At 53.2% G+C, this 24,681-nt stretch overlaps 4 annotated features.

Moving 5' to 3' along the window:
• Positions 944 to 1,484: an enhancer, noted in NCBI's record as "H3K4me1 hESC enhancer chr22:48828944-48829484 (GRCh37/hg19 assembly coordinates)". NCBI's record gives its function as "activates a minimal SCP1, AML or CMV promoter by ChIP-STARR-seq in primed H9 embryonic stem cells {active_cell/tissue: H9 hESC(primed)}" and the evidence as "EXISTENCE:reporter gene assay evidence [ECO:0000049][PMID:30033119]".
• Positions 3,787 to 4,288: an enhancer, noted in NCBI's record as "H3K4me1 hESC enhancer chr22:48831787-48832288 (GRCh37/hg19 assembly coordinates)". NCBI's record gives its function as "activates a minimal SCP1, AML or CMV promoter by ChIP-STARR-seq in naive H9 embryonic stem cells {active_cell/tissue: H9 hESC(naive)}" and the evidence as "EXISTENCE:reporter gene assay evidence [ECO:0000049][PMID:30033119]".
• Positions 12,178 to 12,307: an enhancer, noted in NCBI's record as "active region_19276". NCBI's record gives its function as "activates an Ori minimal core promoter by ATAC-STARR-seq in GM12878 lymphoblastoid cells {active_cell/tissue: GM12878}" and the evidence as "EXISTENCE:reporter gene assay evidence [ECO:0000049][PMID:35858748]".
• Positions 13,523 to 14,722: an enhancer, noted in NCBI's record as "CDK7 strongly-dependent group 2 enhancer chr22:48841523-48842722 (GRCh37/hg19 assembly coordinates)". NCBI's record gives its function as "activates an origin of replication core promoter dependent on BRD2, BRD4, P300/CBP, MED14 and CDK7 cofactors, with strong dependence on CDK7, by STARR-seq in HCT116 cells {active_cell/tissue: HCT116}" and the evidence as "EXISTENCE:reporter gene assay evidence [ECO:0000049][PMID:35650434]".

The following is a 24,681-nucleotide window of genomic DNA, read 5'->3' on the forward strand; positions in this document are numbered from 1 at the left end:
CCCCTGCGCGTGCATAGTACACGGCCCTCGGCCCCCTGGCCCCCAGTGGTTCACTCTTGGCTCCCTGGGCCCCTCACCCAGGGAGGTTACAGGGAGGATACACTTAGAGAGCCCACGCTCTGTGCAGCCCCAACCATGGAGATCAGGCTGGTGTTGGAGCTGGGTACGGGGCCTCCCTTGGCACTGAGCCCCTGGGCCTCGATGCGCCCAGCCTGGTGCTGTAGGACTCAGGGCTCTCCTTGGGGTCTGGCAATTGCATAAACCCTACTGGGTGGGGTGGGTGGGGAACCAGGTGGCCATGGTCCTGGCCCTTCCCAGGAGGAGAAACAGATGAGCTGGCGGCTCTGATGTGAGGGGTGAGAGATGGTAAGGATCCCATCAGAGCGCTCTGCAGGCTGCCATGAGAATTAAGCAGTTTCACGCCCAAGAAGTTCTGTGCCTGTGTGCGGGGTTAAGTGGGGCAGAGGGTGCCTGTCCTGCAGGGGAACAGGCAGGTCCAGTTAAAAGACTCTGGGCCTTTTCCTTTCCCCGAGGGCAGAGGGGGTGGTCAGCAGTCTGTCCCCAGCCTTCTGCCCACCCTCCAGCCCTCACCAGGCCCTTTTCCTCCCTCTCTGCCACTGAGGGGCCACAGCTCAGCTGTGCTCTGCACCCTGCCCCTACCAGCCTCAAGGGCTTGTGTCTATATCCAGAGAGAAGGGCGACGGCTTCCTTCAATTACATTCATCTGAAGTGAAGAAAAGAAAGGAAAAAAAAATACCCAGTCACCATTACTCAGAATGACAAGGCTGCTTGTGATTAAGCTCTGAAGATGCGAGATCCTTTATTGAGAGATTCTTTCACTGCTCAGCTGCAGCACACAGCCTGGGAGGGGGCCTTGTCACTTGGGGCTGGTGACAGCCTCCTTGAGGCAGCATCCCCCTCCCTGGCACGCTGTGCCCTCCTGCCAGGGCACAGAGGGTTTCTCATCTTGGCACTTCTGACGTTTGGGGCTGGGCCATCTGCCATTTTGGGCATCCTGATGCTCAGATCATCCCTGCCCCCGCCTACTGGATGCCAGTCACCCAGCAGCACAGCTGCCCCAAGTCCTAACACCAAAAATGTCCCCAAACCCTGGCAGGTGTTGCTTGGAGCAACATCCCCCCATCTAAGGCGCCCTCCCCACCCCGGGCCTCACCCCGTCTTCCGGCATCGTGTCCCTCCGTGCCTCCCTTCTCTGGGCTGAGTCTGACCCCAGCACATACACCCCTCTTTTCTTCCCCAGGCTGTTTCCCCATCTGTAAAATGAGGGTGACGACGGACAACTTGCGGGACTAAGGTGGAGGTGGACTGAGGTTCTGACGGCCCCATCTGGACTGTAAGGCGAGGGTGCTTTGTAGGACTCTGCCCTTCTCATTACGAGACTTTGCACAGTGGTCCTACTGGATGCTGGATACACAGAGAGGATGGAACGTCTCCGTCCTCAGGAATCTGAAGGCCCTGAAGTGGCATCACTTGCATGGTTATGAGGGTCGTGATTGTCTCCCGATGGGCTGGGAAGGACCCAATGGCAGGAAAAGGAACACTGGCCACTGGGGAGAGCCCTGGCTAGAGCAGGACGGCCTGGGCTGAGCCGAGGTTGGCTGCTGTGTCTCGGGAATCTCCTGTCCTTCGGTGGCGCCAGGCAGTCATGGGATGGGACCAGGGCTTCTGTGAGTCCCCCATGCCCATGGCTCCTCCAGTGCTGCCACCTGAGGACCTTCCTCCTGAGCCGACCTCCTTCCGCCTCTTTCCAGGGCTCCTCCTGGCTGCCCGTCTGCCTGGTAATGTCGGGGCTCATTTTCTTTGAAGATGGCTGTTGGGTTGCCTCTTTCCTGTTTATTTGTGAGCTGCAGTGTGAAATAGCTACTAATTCAGATTTTTACTGTGGATAAACAAATACAGAAAATTAACAGATGTGTTTTGCCGATGTACTCAGCAAAAATAACATCCATCGTGATGGCAGGCATGGAGGAGGACGGAGCCATGAGGAGGCCGAGAGCCCGGACCCAACATCCACAGTGCGAAACCCGAGACATCAGAGAGGGTGGCAGAGTGTGATGTGGCCAGGTTAGCCTCCTGGACCAGGAAGCAGAACTGGAGAGGGACAGAGGGCAGGAGCACATGGACCCCAGAAGGGCAGGGAGGCGGAGCCCCGGGTTGGACCAGGTGGCCATGAGTTCATCTGGAATCCAGCATGGCAGAGACCCCAGGCTGGAGGCCCGGGAAGACTCCGTAGCAGAGGAAGTTGGACCAGAGCATGTGGATTTCAAAGTGCATCAGGAGGCCGAGGGCCTGCAGATATTTGGATCTCAGCAATGGAATGGGAACTAGACCCCTAAAGGCAGGACAAAGCCCCCGGGGATGCCCCAGCCACAGCAAGGCAGGACGGAGCCCTCGGGGAAGTCCCAGTCATGACAAGCCAGGACAGAATCCTTGGAGACACCCCAGCCACAGCTGGTTTCAGTGTCTGCATCCCAATTCAAGATGCAGAGAAACCTCCAAGTTTCTCTTGCCACAGGAAAGGGGGCGAGGAGAGCAGGTCCCTGGAAAGGACTGTGGAGGAGAACCCAGCAGGTGCGCCCCACAGCCCTGGTGCCTTTATCAACCCCTCCTCATACACTAGAGCTGGTGTGAGGGTGTGAATCTACTTCTGATTCTTGAAGCTTAAAGGGCTCTGCCCAGAGCCACTTCCCTGTGATGCTCTGGACAGCAGGGGCCTTATTCTGCTCTCTCCCCCAAGCTCTGGCCAGCACCAGGTAGGAGAGGGGCCCTGTGCTGGGCTCTTCTGACAGCCAGCCACAGGATGTTGGAGGGGCCCGGGCTCAGGCTTGAATGGAGTCCAAGCCCACAAGCTACAGGTGACTCCACAGAGTCACAGGGTTCTCACAGCAAGCGCAGAGCCAGGCCATGCTGCAGACACAAGCCCGGCTATATTCATAGTTTAGGGTTCTTCTGCTCATTTATTTGGTTGTTTGCATACAGACTTTTCATTTCGCTTGTATTCTTTTTTTTTTTTTTTTTTGAGTCGGAGTATCACTCTGTCATCCAGGCTGGAGTGCAGTGGCGCGATCTCAGCTTATTACAATCTCCGCTGCCTGGGTTCAAGCAACTCTCCTGCCTCAGCCTCTCGAGTAGCTGGGATTACAGGTGTGTGCCACCACACCTGGCTAATTTTTGTATTTTTAGTAGAGACAGAGTTTCACCATGTTGACCGGGCTGACCTTGAACTCCTGATCTCAGGTGATCCACCTGCCTCAACCTCCCAAAGCACTGGGATTACGGGCGTGAGCCACCACTGTATTCTTACTCTATTTAGAAACATTCGCCATAGTCTCCTAATTTTAACAAGTAAGCATGTGGAACTTTTATCTTTCTTTCTTGCTGAAAATTTTTTTAAAAGGCTTTTACCATTAGTTTCCCTCCTCTGGGTCATGGTTTCCATAAACGTCAGGTCTCTGTCTTTCCCCCAAAATATCTGAACCCCTTTACTCCCACACACAATGCATAACACACACACAAGTATGTACATGGACACTCACAAGCATACACATACGTGTAGTCACACACATTCCCTTACGTGTGTGCATTTGCACAGGAATAAACACACATGCAACACACACTGACACCCGTGCACGCAGACATACTGTCACACACCCGTGCACGCAGACATACTATCACACACGCGTGCACGCAGACATACTGTCACGCACCTGTGCACGCAGACGTACTGTCACACACGCGTACACACACACACTAGTTTATCCCCTGGAGCCTAGAAAACCGTCGGGCAAGCACTGAAGAAACCATCGATGAATGAATGAAGGACCCTCTTCCTCCGAATGCAGGTCTGGGCTTGGGGAGGAAACATTCTCCACGGAGTGTATTTCTCTCATGTGAAAGGAGACACAGCCTCCTGGGAATACTTTAATTTGCCTTTTCTTTGAGAAGGGACTGCCATGCAGACGGAGCTTTCTTCTAATCTAATTTTACCCCCAAATAAAATAAGACTCAAAGCATGTGAGAACTAGGGAGAAAATGGCTTGGTCCAAGCCTGACATCCAGTGCCTGGGGAAACGGAGGGGCAGAGGGGACAGCAGGGATGGGGGATCACGCGCTTCAAGGCCTCTGTGCTGGCGGCCCTCACTCTTCCTGCCCATGCAGCCAAGAACGGGAGAGTGGCCAGGAGCAGGCAGCCACGTCCCTGTTTGGGGAGACGCCCCTGCTGGGGAGCTCCTCCAAGCCTGCCCCAGCTCCAATGCAGAGTCCCTTTATCACAAACACGGGAGTGAATTCCAGCTGCAGCAGTCATCGCCCCTGGCTCTCCTCTTGGGTCTTGGGCTGCTGTGCCAAGACCTTGCCTGGGACAGTCAGAACCCTGGGCAGGTGATGCCTGCACCTTCTTCGGGCAAAGCTACATCCAGCTCTTACCCAACCCGGGCGAAAGCAGTTGCCTGGAGCCTGGGGTTCTGGTGGACATCACAGGGGATGTCTCCGCCAGGTCCGCACCAGCCAGGTGGACAGACCCGTGGTGGTGACAGACCCCACGTCATGTGGCTGGGATGTGAGGGGTGTGTGTTGCACAACTGTGATTGTGGGGAGAGTGTGCAGGTCTGGATCCTCCTATTTTCCTTAACATCATCCTCTGAATATTTGCACTTGGAAATTCTTTAAAAACATCATGCTATTAGCTGCTTAAGGATGTATAGAGTACAGGCGATTCTGATTAATGCCTCTTCATTCATCTGATAAAAATTCACTGTTTTCTTCCATGGACATTCGAGGTGGCAAAAGTGAGGGGAAGGTAGATGGAAGAGAAGCCCACCCACTCTTCTGGAACATCAATCCCAGAGGGAGGAGATGGATAAACAAATGGTCAAATAAGTGCACAAGGTCCTCTTTTGTCCGTGACATGTTACGAGAAGATAAGACAGGGTTATGAGGCAGAGATAAACCAGAGGACTTTAGGCCAACAGCCATTATCTCCTGCTAAGTATTGATGGGTTAATACTTTGTAAAACGTCTCTGAGTGCATCTCAGATTATGTCCTCAAGATAACTTCCTAGATGCAATAGTACTGGCAGGGAAGTATGAGTATTTTATGGCTTTTTTGTTTGTTTGTTTGTTTGTTTTGAGGCCGAGTCTTGCTCTGTCACCCAGACTGGAGTGCAGTGGTGCGATCTCAGCTCACTGCAACCTCCTCCTCCCGGGTTCAAGTGATTCTCGTACCTCAGCCTCCCGAATAGCTGGGATTACAAGCGCCCGCCACCACACCAAGCTAATTTTTTGTATTTTTAGTAGAGGTGGCATTTCACCATGTTGACCAGGCTGGTCTTGAACTCCTGACCTCAGGTGATCTGTCTGCCTCAGCCTCCCAAAGTGCTGGAATTATAGACATGAGCTACCATGCCCGGCCATATGGTTCTTAACAGACATCGTTCAGGCAACTCTCACACCTGTCCACCCTCCGGAGATCACTTCCGGGAAGGCACTAGCTCACCTGAGCATCTACTTTCCTGTTCTGACATTGTCCTGTGGATTCCCCTGCACTTTGTTTTACACGTGGACCCAAACCTCCCACCGCAGTCTCTGCAACAGGAACGTGACTCCACCCTCTCTGGGGACCCTCCGTCCTCCACAGGGTCAGGCAAGCTGGAAATACAGTCAGATGTTTCTAAGCTCACATGATCATTTTTCAAATCTCCATCCGTTGATAACACATAAAGGAGGCAGGCACCAACTCTCCATAAAGCTTGATTTTTAATAAAACAAAACCCACCTAATCCGGGGGAGCCATGATGGCAGGTGAGCCACTGTGTCCCTCACCTGCGCCATGGCAGGCATTGCTAATCGGTCACAGCACCCCAGTCCACCGTCCTGAACAACAGCAATGTTGGAAATGAGGAAACCATGCAAGGAACCTCATCAAGTAATGGGATGAAAGCAAGAAACCACATTTCTGAAATAACCAGCCTGGCAATGCCCAGCAAGGGGAAGATACACAGTGGTGGAAGCCACATAATGGCACGCCCCTGGCAGGCAGGACACCAGCACAACCGCTGGGGAAATTGTTTCAGTGGACAGGCCAGTGACAGCGAGGCAATTCCAGATCCGAGAACCGCAGGCCATAGAAGAAGACGGGGGAATGCCTGTGGCCCCGCTGTCCATGACGGCAAGGGTGTCGGCAACAACGCAACGCCCATTAGCTGTCACCAGGACAAGGTGGCGGTCACACCTGCATGGCTGCATTCTGCACTGGGGCGATGGGCACACCATGCCACACACATCCAGGAGCACGGACAAGCAGGAAACATCACAGAGAGAGGAGAAGACCTCGAGTCACAGAAGAATAGAGTCAAGGCCGTCCCATCTAAATAAAGTTTTATAGCATGAATGTGTAACGTTTATAGATAAAAATCAACATGGTGAGACTAAGGAAAAACAAAGGAATGGCAAGGATTCCATTGCCAGGATGGGGACTGCCTTTGGTGGGGATGGGAACAGACGGGGTGGCACTCAGGATGGTAGAGATGACACCACGTGCTTGTCCTTAGACTGTATGGAGGGTTGGGGGTAGTCACAGCATCAGGACTCCTGACAGCCTACATCTGAGTCTACACATGCTCTTTTTTATCTACGAAATGTTTATTAAAAGTAATAAAAAATAAAATAAGGGGAAAAGAAGTTCTATCTGGGAAGAGTTGCATCATTCTCAGAGGAGGGCATGGAAAATCGTTTCTTGGCTTTGAGAGGGATGACAGGAATGAGCCACCGCACCCGGCCACAAAATGACTTCTTATGCAAAGCTGAGACGCTGTCATTTATGGGTTTTGATTATTCATAGAACTAGAAAGCTCCGTCTCATACATTCTTGTGGAGGGCATCCCTCCCAACTCCTTTCCACACCAGGATCTGGCCACAAGAGTGTGGGGGTCACTGCCTGTCTTCTTGCTCCCATGGCCCCAGCAACAGAATGGCCCAGACCACAGTGGACGCTCCCTAAGCCCTGAGCCCGGAGAGCAGCGGCGTCTCCTGTGCAGTCACCGTGCCTGCAGCGGGGAGCTGTCACCTTTCCATTTTGCAGGAAGGGGAGGATTTGTAGAAAGGTGAGTCAGGCACACAGCGGGTGCGTTAGTCTGCTTGGCCGCTGCAACCACGGACAGTCATTGTCTCACTGCTCTGGAGGTCGAGATAAGGGGTGGGCAGGGCTGGTTCCTTCTGGGGCCTCTCTCCTCTGCTTGGAAACACCATCTTCTCCTGTGTCCTCACAGGGCAGTCTCTGTGGGTGCCTGCATCCGCAGCTCCTCTTATTATAAGGATACCTGTCCTAGTAGATCAGGACCACCGTGTAACTTCCTTTTGCCAATTTAATCACTGCCCTCTCCCCTCCCAAAAGGCTCTGTCTCCAAATAAGCACATCTTGAGGTCCCAGGGGTCAGAACTTCAGAACATGAAATTGGGGTGGGTGCAATTCTACTCCTGACAGCAGTGGACAGAACATACCCAGGGCGTGGCCCAGGGCCACCCGCAGAGCCTGTGGCAGAAACAGTCAGGGGCCCTCTTGTGAGGGTGGCAAAGACCAGAAGGGAGAGTGGGTGGTAGGGAGGGCTGGCTCAGGAGTGTGATCAGAGGTGGCTGAGGAGGCCAAGGGCACCCAGAGGACGGCAGTTACATCGCCCCACAGTGAGACGCTTTCCTCCCTCTTGGAGCTGCTTGCGGGAAGAAAGTATTCACCAGGCTGCACCAGCCAGAGGCTCCATGCTCCCAGCTGGGTGCTCCCCTCAGTGCTGATGGCCACCGTCGGCTTCTTCACCCACCTGCTCCATGACGGGTGCACCGCTTTACCCCAGACTTAGCAACAGTCCCTCCATTTCTGGAATATGCCCTGTGCCCCCCTCCACTCAGAATCCTGGAACAGGTGCCTTTCCAGTCCCAGTAGGAGAAAGGAGAATCATTTTGTCAAGAATGACGCGTTCTCCTTGCAGGCAATGAATTGGGATCGTGGTGATAGTTTCACATTTTTACAACATGGTAAATGTCCTACCCCTGCGTTTTATCCTCTGCGTGAACGGGAACGAACGCAATCCCACCACGGGCAAGATCTCCTGGAGAAGCACCGTGTCAGTGTGCCATCCGCAAGCCTGACCCCGGCGGGTGCTGTTCCCTCTGTGCCTCAGCCGCGCGGGCTTTATCCGGGCAATTGAAAGGCACTCACAATCCATCGCGCCGTCTTCCGAGGATGGCTTTTAAGGGTAAAACAGATATCGCTTCCGTGGAGTCTCAGCCTCCCTGTTTCACCAATGCTCAGAAACCGCAGCTGCTGTCTCTTTCCTGGTGTTTAAAGGGGTCCTGTGGCTCACACTGGTCTCCAAAGAGCACACACGCATGTAATGAAGCCAGCGCCCTCCATGGCCCTGTCCCTGGGTTTGGCTCCTCCATTCTCTTTCTCGTTTCCTGGGACACTTGTGGGACACACATCCTGCGGGGCCTCACTGTGGCCTCCCCGTGCCACCCTTTCTTGCTCAGAGGCCTCTTCCTCCCCACGACAGTCCTCCTCCATCACCTTAGCGTGCCATCCACCTGAGGCACACACCAGGCTGGTCACAGCCCCTCGTGTCATCAGGTGTTTACAGCACCCCCAACTTCTCCCCACTAGATGCGGGAGCCCCCTCCAGTCTTGAGGACCCCAGATGTCTCCAGACATTGCCGTCTGTCCCATGAGACGGGTGCAGACTCATCCTCTGCTGAGAGCCTGACCACCTTTCCCCATGGGCCAGCACCCCATCCTGCAGCTGTCTCCTCACTATTCTCACCATGTCTGCGTCCTGAGGCCTTCGCCACGGGGCTGGCACCTTGATGGCAGGGCTAAATTGGAGCCGTGACTCCCCAGTGGAACCTTACCCAGGGAATGCCTCCTGACGCCCCTGGGGACCCTGTCCCTGCCATTCCCTCCAGGTTCTCCATGCAACACTTCTGTGCACTGCCCAGGACTGCTTGGAGCACTTGGCCTCTGCCCCGTCTCTCTCGGGCTGTCCTCCAGGCTCGGCACAGTGCAGTGCCCCTGCTCGCAGGTGGGCCTCCTGAAAGCTACCTCCAGTGGCACCTCCTTTCAGGGCTTCCTCAAAGCTGCCTCCAGTGGCGCCTCTGTCCCTCCCTCGGTGCCTCCCACAGCATTGACTTTGGGACCCAGCTGCGGCGAAGGGTGCAAGTCCATCTCCCACTGCCCTGTGGATGCCCGGAGGGAAGCCTGTCAAATGTAGCTGCAGGATTTGGCCTCATCCACCCTTGACTTGTTCCTTCCTGCAAGCTGGCCCTCTGCAGGGAGAGGCAGCCGTTCAGGGCTGTGGGTGGCAAGGGGCCACCTGCACCCATGAGAGGTACGAGGCCCCCTGCAGCAGGTCCTCTTCTATCGGCATCTGCCTGAAGGTGTGTTGAGGCTCTGGCTCTGCAGGTGAGTTGTTGCACCATGGACTGGGCCAAGAGGAGACCCCGCAGATGCAGCCGGCATGGAGGCCCCAGCCCCAGGCCTCTGCCTCTCCATCCCCCACCCCTGCCTGCTCACCTCAGCCATGAGCCTTGTCTGTGGGTCCAAGCCCCCTGCCTGGGGAACGACGGCTCCACAGCCTGACCTGCAGTGTCTCCTGGCTTTGAGAGCCTCCTAGTGTCTGCACAGACTTGTCCTGCTCATGGAGGCCTTTGGGACAGGACTATGTGATCTGGAAGTTGGGAAGGGCAGCAGAGGACAAGCCAGGAGACATCCTGGGCCCCTGGTGCTTTACATTCTGGGAAACTCCATGATAATATGCAAGCCCTTTGTTACTAGGTTCATATGTTTGGATTGTGTGAATGCCGTATCAATATTGAGACCCCGGGAGAAAGATGGCAGGGGAGGAGAGCCAGGAGTCTGAGTCCTGAGCCCTAATCCTGAGCCCTGAGCCCTGAACCCTAATCCTGTGCCCTGAGCCCTGAGCCCTAATCCTGTGCCCTGAGCCCTAATCCTGAACCCTGAGCCTTAATCCTGAGCCCTGAACCTTGAGGCCTAATCCTGAGCCCTGAGCCCTAATCCTGAGCCCTGAGCCCTGAGCCCTAACCCTGAGCCCTGAGTCCTCAGCCCCGAACCCTAAGCCCTGAGCCCTAACCCTGAGCCCTGAACCCTAACCCTGAGCGCTGAGCCCTGAGCCTTAACCCTGAGCCCTGAGTCCTGAGCCCTAATCCTGAGCCTTGAGCGCTAACCCTGAGCCCTGAGCCCTGAGCCCTAACCCTGAGCCCTGAGCTCTAATCCTGAGCCCTGAGCCCAGAGCCCTAACCCTGAGCCCTGAGCTGTGCACCATGAGTCTGAAGCTCCAGTTTTTTTGTGCCTGGCCCACATAGACTTGGCCGGCAAGGCCCTGCAGGGGAAATTGACTAGTTTTACTTGTATAAAATCCTTAATAGTTACATTTTCCTCTCTGTCCTTAATTATAATAATCCCATGGTCAGATGCAATGACAGGTGATGTAGCGGGGGATGAACTCAGCGTGGCCCCAGGACCTGCTCTGGGCTCTGGCCTAAAAGGAGTGAGGTTCAGGCTCCCATCCTTTCTCTGTCCTTCTGCTGTGCCTTGAGCCGAGCCCAACAGGACAGCTGCAGCAGGAGCTCCCGGGGACGGGGCTGTGTCCTGTTTTCGGGTGAGTCTCCAACAGTCAGGGTGGCTGTGAGCTCCCAAGATGGCTCCAGGCCAGGCTGAGGATGAGGGGAGGGGCATCCCCACTGGTGCCCACTGCACCTGGAGCCTGGGGTGGGGCTCGGCTTAGAACGATAAGTCCTGAGTAAATGGGTGAGCAAACAGGCTCATCACACATTACAAAAATTAGCTGACTGTGTCTGTACCCAACCCAACCTATAGCATCTTTGTTTGTTTGTTTGTTTGTTTGTTTTGAGATGGAGTTTCATTCTTGTTGCCCAGGCTGGAGTGCAATGGCACAATCTTGGCTCACTGCAACTTCCACCTCCTGGGTTCAAGCGATTCTCCTGCTTCAGCCTCCTAAGTAGCTGGGATTACAGGCCCCTGCTACCACACCTGGCTAATTTTTAGTAGAGACAGGGTTTTGCCATGTTGGTCAAGCTAGTCTTGAACTCCTGACCTCAGGAGATCTGTCCGCCTTGGCCTCCCAAAGTGCTGGGATTACAGGCGAGTCACTGCACCCAGCCTACATCTTGATGGAGGAACTGTTAGATTTCTCTTTCCTCAGACCCAGAGAAACATCCTATGGGACATTAAGGAAGTAGCCAAGTGACTCTTGGAGGGAGAGAAAGTAAAATAGAAGGGAAGGGAAGGGATGGGAAGGGAAGGGAAGGGAAGGGAAGGGAAGGGAAGGGGGCAGGGAGGGAGGGAGGGAGGGAAAGAAGGAGGGAAGGAAGGAAGGAAGGAAGGAAGGAAGGAAGGAAGGAAGGAAGGAAGGAAGGAAAGAAAGAAAAGGGAGGAAGGGAGAGAGGGAGGGAAAGAAGGGAAGGGAGGGAAGGAAGGTGGCATGGGGTTTCTGTCCCTTCTCTCAAGGGGCTTCTTGTCTGGCCAAGTGGGAGGGTATCCCTGGCTCTCTTCACCCTGCCTTTTTCCCTCCCTCTGGGGACTCCAGAGGCCCCTGCATGGACCTGACCCCAGCAACCCCTCCGGTGCCACACTGTAGGGAGCAGTGGCTGTTGGTAGTACAGACCTTACTTAAACTTTTTCTATGTAAATAACCGATAGTCATAAAAAGGAAAATTGCATTTGCTTTGAGTGGGCAGAAGATACATTTTAGTCAAAATGAGGAATATTCTCCAAGCGTGGCTTCAGCTCATGAATAACAACACTATATTACCTTTTTTTTTCAGGCTTTCAGCTCGACAGAGCTATTTGTCCTTGCGTACCAATGCAACAAATTATATTATTTAATGAAAAATGGGCCAGCCCCAGCTTCTCAGGCAAAGTCTCCCTGTATCAGTGACATTATCATTAATGCATCAGAACCCATGGATCAACCCAGCCTCTGTCTATGGCCACACCAAGAGGGACAGCTCATGGAGCCCAGCGCCCAGGAGATGCCTCACAGATGCCCATGTGCTCACCGATGCAGATCTGGGGCTGCTTAAGAGAAACTTCTTGTGGCTGGAGCTGCCCCAGGGCCCCAGGTGACCGACCTGGCATTGTGCTGGTAAAAGCAGAAGTGAGGCTTTGATCAAAGCTTCTCTGGGATTTGCGGGTGCCTTTCGTTTCAGAGGTCTGCACAGCGGGGCTCTCTCACTTCTTCCCACAGGCTGGTTGGCTCACTCATGCGAGCAACCACATGTCCTCGGCCAGCGCATGCCTGCAGCGCTCACACACGCTTACTGATCTTCCGGCTGGAGGACACATTTGGGAGGGCAGGGCCGGGTCTTGTTCAGCTGCAAAACACAAGGATGCGGGCCCACTCCATGCAGGACACTGAGTGCCTGCCGTACACCCTGAACTGGCTTGGAGAAGGCACTCAGGGCACAGCCAGGCCAGGAGCCACTGGTCTGACTGCCCACCTGCCTACAGAGTCAGTCCTGCCGCAGCTGGGATGTCAGACAGCAGCACCCCGTCTGGAGGAGCTGATGGATTAGCATCTCCAGGAAATTCCAGTCCTGTGGCCAGTGCCATGAGAGGCTGCAATGTAGGCCATGTTTCCTGAGCACCTGCTCTGTGCTGGGGCGGGGTAAGAGGGAAGGAGGGAGGAGGCATAAGACACACACAGATGGTGGCCACCCATGGAGGCTCTGCCACCCCCAGCAGCCCCAAGCCATCCTTCCTGGAATCCTCAAGACCTGGCCGAAATGCAGTTGCCTCTTCCAGCGAGCCCTCCAGAACTCCCACTGGCAGTGACATTTTCTCTATCGTCTGCTGCTCTGCAAGCAGAAACCTCCTCTGCAAGGAGTAAGTCTATGGCACATTTTAACTCCTGGTTACATGGCAGAGTTTTACTCCCATGAAATAGCTGTGAAAACTGAGACCTGGCAAATTCAAGCCCTCCTTGAAGAGGACCGCTTGCAAACAGCAGAACGGGGCAGGACTGTGCATCTTCTGTCTCCAGGCAAGCTGGTTTGAGAGGTCGGTTCACAAGACTTCTCTTTTCACACCTGCGTGGCTCAGGACTGAGGGGTGCCCAAGATTTGGGACTTCCAGTTTTATAGCCAGGAAAGTCCTTGGAAAGCCCAGCTTTCTCTCTGTCCTCGTCCAGAATGACTTGAGGTATATGAAGAATCCAGGAGGATGGAAGTTAAATTAAAATACACACAAATAAACAAGCAAACTACCATCAAAAGGCATGCTCACTGCTGCTGGAGCGAGGTTCACGGGCACGCCTAGCTCTGCAGCCCCGCTGGTCCCCCAGTGCCGAGCACGAAGAGGGCTTCTCAGTCACACTAGCCGGTGAGGAGGAGCTGGTCAGGATGAGTCCCGACCTGCAGGCACCAGCTCCCATGGTGAGTGTGAGTCACACTTGCCCAGCTTCCCCTCTGCCCAGGAAGGCACCCCACTGTAGCCCTGGCAAAAAGCTCGTGTTGGGGCTCGAGAGCGGCAATGTACGTGGACCCTCATGGAAACCAAAGTGTGGGGAGAATGTTTCTTCCCCACCACCCCCAACTTTGTGCCACCTTTCTTTCTTTCTTTCTTTCTTTTTTTTTTTTTTTGAGATGGAGTCTCGTTCTGTCGCCCAGGCCGGAGTGAAGTGGCATGATCTCGGCTCACTGCAAGCTCTGCCTCCCGGCTTCACGCCATTCTCCTGCCTCAGCCTCCCGAGTAGCTGGGACTACAGGAGTCTGCCACCACGCCCAGCTAATTTTTTGTCTTTTTTTTTTTTTTTAGTAGAGACGGGGTTTCACCGTGTTAGCCAGGATGGTCTCGATCTCCTGACCTTGTGAACCACCCGCCTCGGTCTCCCAAAGTGCTGGGGTTACAGGCGTGAGCCACCGCGCCCGGCCTTCCTACAGGACACTGGCCAACAATAGTTTTAGAAGATGCAGGCGCCGCCCGTCTTCCTGACTTTGATGCCTCATGGAACTCTGCAGCCTGGATAGCTCCTGTTTGAAGTTAGGGAGATTTGGAGTCCTTCTCTCCTCCCTGCCAAGTGTGCCCAGGTCAGAGTGTGCTGACCAGCGGCCCCAGAGAGCTGGTGGGTGGCTCTAGCTGCAGGAGTGACAGGTAGGGAGGTGAGGCTTCTCTCAGACCCCCCAACCCCCTCCAGGGATGGAGACCTTCTGGGCCTCTGACAGCCCAATGCTGGCTCCTAAAAATTTACCCTATTCATCATAAATTCCCACAACTATTTTTTTTCCCTTAAATGAGCATTGAAATTTATGGGTGATCATGGAAACCTCTCATCACATGTGAGTCAGAGCCACGAAAATGATGAAGCAGGAATTCTAATTTTTAATGAAAGAGCTGACCCAGGCTGAGTCATAAAAGATCAGACGCTGCCGTGTCTACTTGTCTCTGGATACACCCATTCCTTCTTACCCTGGTGAGGAGTGGTCTCGATTCTGTGATTCTGCCATCGGCAACTGTGAGCTCTGTGCTTCTCTGTGGAGCCCACCACTGACCCAGCTAAGGCACCAGGACGCACAGAACAAGGGGCCCTGGGTCACTGTCTCGGTGTCCCATGCTGTCCTACCCGATGGAGGGGCTGTAGGAGACCTCGTCACACCTAGGCCTGTCCCTGGAGCACAGTAGGTCTTCAGCCCCCTTAACTGAGCAATGTGCCTACACCCCAAGCCCAGAGCACTGCCCACAACACAGAGGACAATGAGAGCCATTCTCTTCTGCCATCCATTCCTTCCTCAGCTCGGCCTTCTCTACCCTGTTCCTGCCAGCCATCGAGAAAGTGAGGTCTTCATGGCCAGAGATCTCTGCCAAGCCCCCTACAGCAGAGCTTCCATATCAGACAGAGTGGGTACAACACGCACATCGTGAAATGACGTGAGGGCAGGACTTTCTCAGCCCTGACTGGAACCCAGCCTCCACACTCACTGTTCCAAGAATCCACTTAACCTCTCTACACCTATATTTCCTCACTGAAAGATTGGGGTCACAAGGCCAACACAGGGTCACTTCTGGGATTTAATGAAACAATATGGATCAAGGCCCAGCCCATCATCAGTGCTGTCATTAGTAGCTTCCCCCTGAGTGTTCCATCTACCTGCACGTCTGCTAGCCTTGCTTTCCGATGCGAGCAGGGATTTTCTCTATCTGAATAATCCAACCACTGGACCATGGCATACTGATGCTGAGAAAGTCAGCGTGTTCCCTAACCTCAGTACCACTGAACAGGAACATAGACGGATATGGGGTACTCAGGAAGTGCTTCATGACCATGTAAAGAAATGGGTATGGACAAATCCATGGATTCAGTGAATAATATGGAGCTGAATTAGGTGTACAGCAAAGCCCTCATTTTACAGGGTATTGAAAGCCAATATCTACAGAGACTGGATCACTCGCCCAATATGGCCAGGAAGAGAATGGCAGAGCCAGTGCTGGGCTGGCCAAGGGAAGTCTCACAGGACTCCCAACATCTGAGACAGCTAAATTATAAAGGAAATGCACTTTTAAAGATAATCAAATCAGGGACACTTCATTGAAGATTCAGCTCAGGCAGAAGGATTCTTTTTAACCCCAAACTCCATGGTCAGCAAATAAACACCCCATGTATTTGCATCCTCCATTCCCAGCTCTTCTACAGACACCATACAGCCCAGACAACTGTGTTCTGCCCTACAGCCTGACAACAGCCTGCCTTCCCATGATGTTCTCTCTACAGCCTGACAACAGCCTGCCTTCCCATGATGTTCTCTCTACAGCCTGACAGCAGCCTCCCTTCCCATGATGCTCTGCTTTACAGCCTGACAGCAGCCTCCCTTCCCGTGATGCTCTGCCCGACAGCCAACAAGTCTATCCTCCCATGATGTTCTGCTCTACAATCTGACAACAGCCCTCTCTCTCATGATGCTCTGCTTTACAGTCTGACAACAGTCTTCCTTCCCATGACGTTCTGCCCTACAGGCTAACAAGAGCCTTCCTTCCAATGATGCTCTGCCCAACAGCCAACAACAGCCTTACTTTCTTATGCTGCTCTGCCCAACAGCCACCAACAGTCTGCTTCCCATGATGCTTTTCCCTAGAACCAGCAACAGTCGGCCGTCCCATGATGCTCTGCCCTAGAACAAACAAGATTCTTCCCTCCCATGATACTCTTCTTTAGAACCAACAGCAGCCTGCCCTCCCATGATGCTCTGCCCTAGAACAAACAACATTCTGCCCTCCCATGATACTCTTCTTTAAAACCAACAACAGTCTGCCTTCCCATGATGTTCTGCCCAACAGCCAACAACAGTCTGCCCTCCCATGATGCTCTTCCCTAGAACCAACAACAATCTCCCCTCCCATGATGAAGGAAGCATCCCGTGATGCTCTGCTCTACAATCTGATAACAGCCCTCTTTCCTGTGATGCTATGCTGTACAGCCTGACAACAGTCTTCCTTCCCATGATGACCTGCCCTACAGCCTGACAAGAGCCTCCCTTCTCATGATGCCCTGCCCAACAGCTGACAACAGTTCGCCCTCCCATGATGCTGTTTCCCAGAACCAACAACAGTCTGCCCTCCCATGATGCTCTGCCCCACAGCCAACAACAGTCTTCCTTCCCATGATGCTCTGCCCTACAACCGACAGCCACACCTCCCTTGGCACCAGGATTTGCCTCCAGTCTGACAGCCTTCCTTCCCAGCATGCCTTGCCCTGGCCTGGGCAGTGTTGTCCACACCCACATGAGGGTGGTGTCGGTGCTGCCCACGTCCCAGCTGTGAGGTCAGCCAGCCACAGAAGCAGCAGCTGTGGGGACAAGCTTCTGTGCGCAGCTCTGTCGTTCAGCAGCTGTGTCCTTCAGAAAGCCCTGGAGCTCTCTGGGCCTCAGGTGGCCTTTCGGAGTGTAGACAACGCCAACAGCTCTGACCACAGACAGCCATGGCAGGCAGGTCTGTCAGTGACTAAGGAATATGCCCAGCAGAGACACGGCAAGACCACAAACCATCTTGGGACCCTGAGAAAGAAGACACGGTGGGCGGATTCAACAGTCTTATGGGGTCACAATGCACAGGGCTTGGTGAGTGACTGGGTGCAGAGGGTGACAGAGGAGACAGTGAAGGAGTCTTGGGTCCTAAAGTGGCACCTGTGGGGGTCGCTGTGTTCCATCCTGTGCTGCAGACCCAGGGCCCAGCCACAGAACTCGGGAGAGGGGTGGGGAGAGGGTGCGGGGAAGAAGAGGGGCCAGGTGCTCTGCCCACACACTGAGTCTGAGGAGCCATCCAGGAGCAGAGGGCTGGAAGGTGCTGGGACCTGGGGGGCTCTTGGCTCAGGAGGGGGCTGTGCTGGAGCATCGCCAGCAGAGGGAAGCCCTGGGATCGGCAGGCCAAGGAGGAGGCAGGCCTGGGAAAAGCCCTCTGCCCTACTCTGACCACATGGCCAGGGAAAGGACCCCAGCATTGCGGCTGCCCCCACCAGCGCTGCAGAATCTGCTTCAGAGGACTTCTCGTGGCACACAGGGAGAGGTGGGAGGAACATGGGAAGAACAGAGAGCCGGCTTCAGAGGCCGGGCCCAGGCTCTGGTCGGCGGGTTGCTAACTCCACCCCCGAGAAAGACATCCTGGCCCTCCAGCCCTGGGGACAGAGACACTCAAACAGGTGGCTGTGCTGCCATCACATCTGAGTGTCTTCACACATGAGCATGATGGTGGAACTCTCTCCCCAAGGCTTTCTGTCATTTCCAAAGCTCCTCTTGCTTGAGTGCTAGTCCTGGGCTGGGTGCCGGGGCCAAGCCACGCGTGTGTTTTCTTAATGCACACACCCAAGCTCTGAGGAATGTCTCATTGTTCCTGTCCCATGTCACAGATGAATAGACTGGGCTGGGGAGCTCCGGTGGGAAGTGGAGAAGCCAGGATTCAGGGTCAGGTACCCTCACTCTCCCAGTGGGCCACTCTGCCTCTTCCTGGGGCCTACTCGCCCTTGGGTGTTTAGCGGGGGCCTGTGATGTGCGGAGCCTGGAGCCTGGAGCTGGGGAAGCAGAGAGGAAGCCAGACCCTCCCCAGACAGGAAAGAGACAGGACTCCACAGGGTGGAGAGGGTTTTCTGGGAATGGGCCCAGAAGCAGTCTGGGATGAGGGAGGACTCCTTTTTCCCTGGGGCTGGTGGCAGGTGGGCACCCAGAAGCCTGAAATTCAAGGCTGAGAAGATACTCCCCAGTGGGGGAGCTTGCCTGGGCCAGTCGGCTTTTCAGGAGCAGAAGTCAGTGAGTGCAAAGGAGGAAGCAAGAAATGCCGGGTGCTCTCGGGGAACCACATTCACTGCCCTCCCTGTGACCTCCAAAGCAAGGCCCTCCCTCGGGGTGGGTGGCGCTGCCCTGAGACTCATGGGAGGGGAGAGGGCTGGGTCGGGCGACCCTTCGCAGCAGGTGACCTGGGCAGGGCGGTGAGGCTGACCAGCGGCCCTGCCTGCTGCTGCCTGTGATGATTTGCTCAACATTGTGTGATGAAATTTCATTATCTCCCACACTTATTTTTGTCTTCTCTATCTATTCTGGGAAGCAGAGTCTTAGATCAGCAATTAGAAATGTCACTTGAGCTTTTGAGAAAGGGGGGGGTAATTTGCGAAGTCTATAATTGAGAATAGTAATCAAATTCGTTGACAACTTCAATGATATACTAAAATGGTAATTAATTGTAAATTTTTGATGGAATATATAATATTTATCTATTTTTGAACTTTTTACTGATTAGCAACAAGCTCTGGTATATTAGTTCTTTTTTAAATCTGATTTCTATAATTAGCATCATCTTTTTGTTTTCTTTTATTTTTTTCCACTGAAAGTTTCCTATGAAAGAGAGAATCCACTTAAGAATAAACTTCAGGGCTGGGCACGGTGGCTCACACCTGTAATCCCAGCACTTTGGGAGGCTGAGGCGTGTGGATCACCTGAGGTCAGGAGTTCGAGACCAGTCTGACCAACATGGTGAAACTCCGTCTGTACTAAATGCGAAGAAAATCATCTGGGCCTGGTGGCACACGCCTGTAATCCCAGCTACTTGGAAGGCTGAGGCAGGAGAATCACTTGAACCTGAGAGACAGAGGTTGCAGTGAGCCGAGATCACACCACTGCACTCCAGCCTGGGTAACAAGAGTGAAATTCCGTCTCAAAAAACCAAAAACAGAAGCGAAAGAATAAACTTCCGGGTCAACTCACCCCTTAGTGCCTGCTTAGTGGGAACAGCGGAAACAGGGTCTCCTGGGCCTCGGGAGCGCAGGAAGCAGATGTGGGAGGGGAGAGAGGGGAAAGGCCCTCTGCAGTGAGACTCACCTGGCACAGCTGCGCAGGAAGCTGAGTAAGGTACAGGGCACTCCTGGGAGCGCTGAGCATCTAGGCTTGCTGGTGAGCACCTGGTGTTAGCGCTGGAAGGCCTGGACCCTGGACCTGCGTTCAACCTGCTCGGGCTGCCCCACGCATGTCATTTATTCAAGGCAGGCCACTGCCAGGATGACAAAACCACATCTGAGATGGAGTATGAGTCGGCTTGGGCAGTCATGACAAAATAACACAACCTGGGAAGCTTTGACAACAGGAATTTGTTCTCTCCCAGTCCCAGAGGCCAGAAGCCCAAGGTGAAGGTGTCACAGGGCTGCTGGGTCTTCCTTAGCTTTCTTCATCACAGAAACGATGTTGCGAAGGGGATAGGAGGAAAGAGGAGGATGCCGCCAGCCATCCTTGCTTGTCGGGATGCCGACAACGGCCAGGGCTGAGAGGAGGAAGTAGTGGCATCGGAAGCCAAGCTTGTCTTGGGATTTGCCACCGAGGTCACATGGGAGTGGTCCCACGGGCCCCTGCCTGTCACCCCTTCTCACAGATGGGAGCCGGGGGTGCTGCTAGTGAGCGGTAGAGGCCATGGTTAAATCCAGTCCCCAAGGGCTAATGATTCTTCTTGGGGAACTGGATGAGATTGGACCCACAGCACATGATTCTGATGTGGCTTCAGTGACTATGAATGAGGTGCCATTAGGGTCAGCAGTGAGCACTGCCCCCCGGTCTCCTTTCTGCAGAAGCCTGGCTTCCAGCACCCACCCGAGCACCATGGGGACTGAGGCTGCAAGAGCAGCAATCTCTGCCCCCTCCCAGGGCACCGTCTATGCTAAATCTTATCTTCAGCATTGTAAGTTGAGAATGTGCTCTCAATCTACATTTTAATTATATCTTCAGATCTCGTCTTCTGCTTCCCAACAAGTCAATGGCACAAATTTTCTCTTTCTACCACGCAGTCCTCAATCTGTTGTATTCATCAGCCCATAGATTACCCACAGAGTCAAACTCTTCCTGCAAAGACACTGACAGAGGAACTGAAACAGAACAGTGAACAAAGTTTAAGAAATTTGGAATAACAGACTTTCTGCTGGAAAAAAATAAAATCTATTTGCACTTATCAAGATACGCCATTGCCTCAAGTAATGAGAACAACCGTTCACAGCACCAAGCGCTGCCTTCTGGGACTTGGAGGATCCTCTCCATTCTGAGGGAAGATTCCAACAGTTACCCAAACCCCAGGACACTGAGAAGGTTCAGCCCTCACCCTCTCCTGGGCCACCTGGGGTCCAGCCCCTGGTCCGTGTACACAGAGCTCTGCTTGCAGGGAGCGGACTTCCTCCCAGGGGCCACCCTCGTGCACAAGCTGATGAGCCCCAGAGGAGGCATGGGAGATGGCAGGTGTAGCCCCCAGACTGCACCTGAGTCCTGCGGTGAGGGCCTGTGCATCGGGGCGGGACAAAGCGGGGACTGAGGAGAGACGGGCTTCCTGGGAGCCCAAGAAGCACAGAGTCCAGGCCAGGCTGGCTTTGAATGTCAGTGAATGCAAAGGAGGAAGAAAGAAGGGCCGGGTGGTCTCGGGGAACCACATTCACTGCTCTCCCTGTGACTTCCAAAGCAAGGCCCTCCCTCAGGCTGGGTGGGTGGTGCTGTGTGAGACTTATGGGAGGGGAGAGGGTTGAGTGGGACAACTCTTCCTAGAGGATGGCCAGAGGAGGGTAGCGAGGCCAAAGCCAAAGCGTCAAGTGCGATGAGGACAGAAGCATAGGTGTCTCCTCCGTGTGTTTGCAAAGCACAGAGCTGAGACCAGGCTGGGCACCCCGAGATTGCAGGGCCACAGCTCCGGCAGCCCCCAGAGACGAGCTGTGTAGCACAATTCTCAGCATTTAAAACATAGGATGCTGTGGCTGGCTCTCTTGAGGGTGGGACACCCTGGGAGTTCTCCCAGAAACACCTAGATAAGATGTGAGAGAACAGGGACTCTGAGAGAGCAGATGGGGCAAGGTCCAGGGACATTTGGGTCCTTCCTGGTAACATGGCCCATCCCCATGTCCATAGGCCAGAGGGAGGTGGTGAGCTGTGCCTGCCAGCAGCCAGCACACTTTCCTTCTCCTGCAGCCTAAAGAGCATCTCGCTGGCCTCTGATGAGCTCTCCGGTGCCTCCCACCCCTAGACCCGCACCCTTTATCATGTGAAACCGGGGCACCAGCAATAGTTGTCACTACTGACCAAATGCAAGATGGGCCCGGCAGAAGGGGTGGTGGATCCAGGCCAGGAAGTCAGGGCCTCATCTTGTAGCCAACAGCAGCCCCTGCTACACCCCTGCCTCCCCATGTCTCCCACGCAGGAAATGAGGGAGCTGATCCCTTGGCTGTGAGCAGGGTGGGCCATCCAACAGCCATTCCTGCACTGCCACGTCCCTCATCACCACAGTCAGACCTCACGCCCCCACCACCGTGCAACACGTCCTAAATCCAATTGATAAGATGTAAAACATTGCCTCCCCCACCTTCTGTGCACAGTGGGTCAAAAGTAGGTGACGTTCATTGCATTACTTGGCATAAACATGATTTTAATAATTACCATGGGCCAGAACCCACGCCTGCTCTTGAATAATGAGCACTGAATTCTATTATAGTTCAGGATTAAATATCTTCCAGCTCAGTTCCTGCAGCAGGCTGGCGAGGCGATGTCCGTGGCCCAGAGCATGCCTCCATGGTGTATACGGCCCAAGATGAAAAATCCCTGCTGCTATTCTGAGCCCCTAATAACATATCATTTTGCAGCCATATACAGCCACATCTGAATTATAGGCTGTATTTTGTAATCAAGAGGATTTGCTTGAATTTGTTATAATTTTAGGTGGTTTTCTTGTTCACTGAAGATAATAATTATTCTCTACCTGAGGACACATACTAGTCTTATGACAACATCTTCACGTTGGAAACGGTTTATTTATAGTTCTTATCTGCACCATCAATATCAGGAAGCTTTAACATCTGCACGTCTTGGTGAGCTGCGCCCAACATCCCAGCCCCAGAGCAGGGCAGGAGCTCAGAGACCACTCCCACAGCCAATCTCCCAGAACCTCTTCCTCTTGCCAACGAGGACAGTGAGGCCCTGGGAGGTTAGTTGGCTCACCGAAGGTTACCTGAATAATTTAAGGCCCTTTGGTAACACACATTAACTCTGCATTTCAAACACCTCCCCGCTGCAAGTGTATTTCAGCAGTCAGTTTTCTTCACTAACCCATATATGAGGGAGATAGGAAGAGAAGTGCAGGTGGTAAGTCGCAGGTGACCAGACACTTGTGTTAGGAAAATCCAGAGCCCCCCACGCCCCAGGAAGCAGCCAACAGAGAATCGCCTCCATGGTGTGGATTTAGAAAGCAGAGTTTAGAGATTTTTCCTGAGAAATTGTGTGGAAGCATGGTTATTTGAGATGTTCATGAGGTGAAGAACATTCATGGACATGCACACACACACACACACACACACACACACACACACACACACGAGAGAGAGAGAGAAAGGGAAACCCCCTCCTATCCGACGTTGCCTCATGATGTTGATGCTACAGTCATAAAACCTTATTTTGCAGATTACAAAACAATTTCAATAGAATATCCCATTTGATCCCTCCAAAACAAAACCATATGTGGTAGAGAGACAGGTATCATGATTACCATTTTTCAAGAAAAACAAAAGAGATGGAGATCCGGGGAGTTGAGAACTCACTCCCCAACACTGGCTGGGGCCTGTGGGGCGTGGGTACATCTCCTGCTCTCGGCTCCATTGTTCTTCCCTTGCTGTCTCACCCTCCACCCCAGGAGGGTTTCCAGGATCATCACTGTCCAGGTGCCTAAAATCCCACCATCCAGAAGCAACCTGTATCTTGTCATTTATTCAGATGTTATAGATTCTACATAGAAGTCTTTTTTTTTTTTTGAGATGGAGTCTCACTCTGTCACCCAGGCTGGAGTGTAGTGGCACAATCTCGGCTCACTGCAACCTCCATGTCCCGGGTTCAAGTGATTCTCCTGCCTCAGCCTCCCAAGTAGCTCGGATTACAGGTGCACCCCACCACGCCTGACTAATTGTTTGTATTTTTAATAGAGACAGGGTTTCACCATGTTGACCGGGCTGGTCTCAAACTCCTGAGTGATCTGCCCGCCTCGGCCTCCCAAAGTGCTGGGATTACAGGCGTGAGCCACTGTGCCCGGCCTGTCTACATATAAGTCTTATGCTTTGCTGATTAAATGTACCTTTAGGTATTTTAGAAAGTTAATTCGTTATGATGAATAGATTTTCTGTCCATCTCCACTTGAAACTGGATAGTTCTGAAAGAATTGTTATTATTCTGTTGTGAATTGACCTTCTGCCCCAGCGACGTCACCACATTCACGGGTGGTGTTCATGGTGTCTTCAGTCTTTTGGTTTTCTGGGGATACAACCATATCCTGGACCAGTGAATAAGTCTTTTCAATGTTAATTATGTATCGAATAACATTCCAACCAGATTCCCCATGGATATTTTGGCAGACTGGACAAAGCAATCTTCAACTGCACACGGAAGATAGAATGTCCAGGAATTGTTATTTGTTTAATTAAGTATAAATACCTCCTTCCATCAAGACAATATGACATTTCCACACATAGACCAAAACAGATCAATGGAACATAACAAAATGCCCAAATTTGTCACTGCCATGGCCATTTTTATGTGTCAACTTGGCTGGGCTGGAGTAGCCAGTTACTCAGCCCAACGCAAACCTGCGTGTAGCTGTGGAGGTATTTTGTAGATGTGGCTCACACCTCCTACTGATGGGCTTTAAGTAAAGGAGATGACCCTTGATCATGTGGGTGGAACTCAGCCAATCAGCCGAAGGCCTTCAGAGGAAAAACTGAGATTTCCTGGAGAAGAAATTCTGCCTCCAAACAGCAGCGCTAACTCTGCCTGAGTCTCCAGCCTGCCAGCCTGTCCTACATATTTTAGACTTACTAAACCCTGTGATCACATGAGCCTGTTCCTTAAAATAAACCTCTCTTTCCACACCTCAAATTTTCTGAATCAGTTCTCTAATCGGATTAGATTTCAAAGCCCTAATGACTCCATTCCAGGGGTGATGCGTCTGTAACACAATGTGGCGATGGAGACACACACGAGCCCACAACCGGATGCTCCTCATAAAACACGCAGAAGAGCCAAGGTTCTGGGTGGCCATGTATTTGGTGCCTCAGAACATTTTTGTCAAACTAAAGAGCATAAGGAGATTGGCTGGTTCTCCTA

The sequence above is a fragment of the Homo sapiens genome, chromosome 22 (genome assembly GCF_000001405.40).
Source record: "Homo sapiens chromosome 22, GRCh38.p14 Primary Assembly".
NCBI lineage: Eukaryota > Metazoa > Chordata > Mammalia > Primates > Hominidae > Homo > Homo sapiens.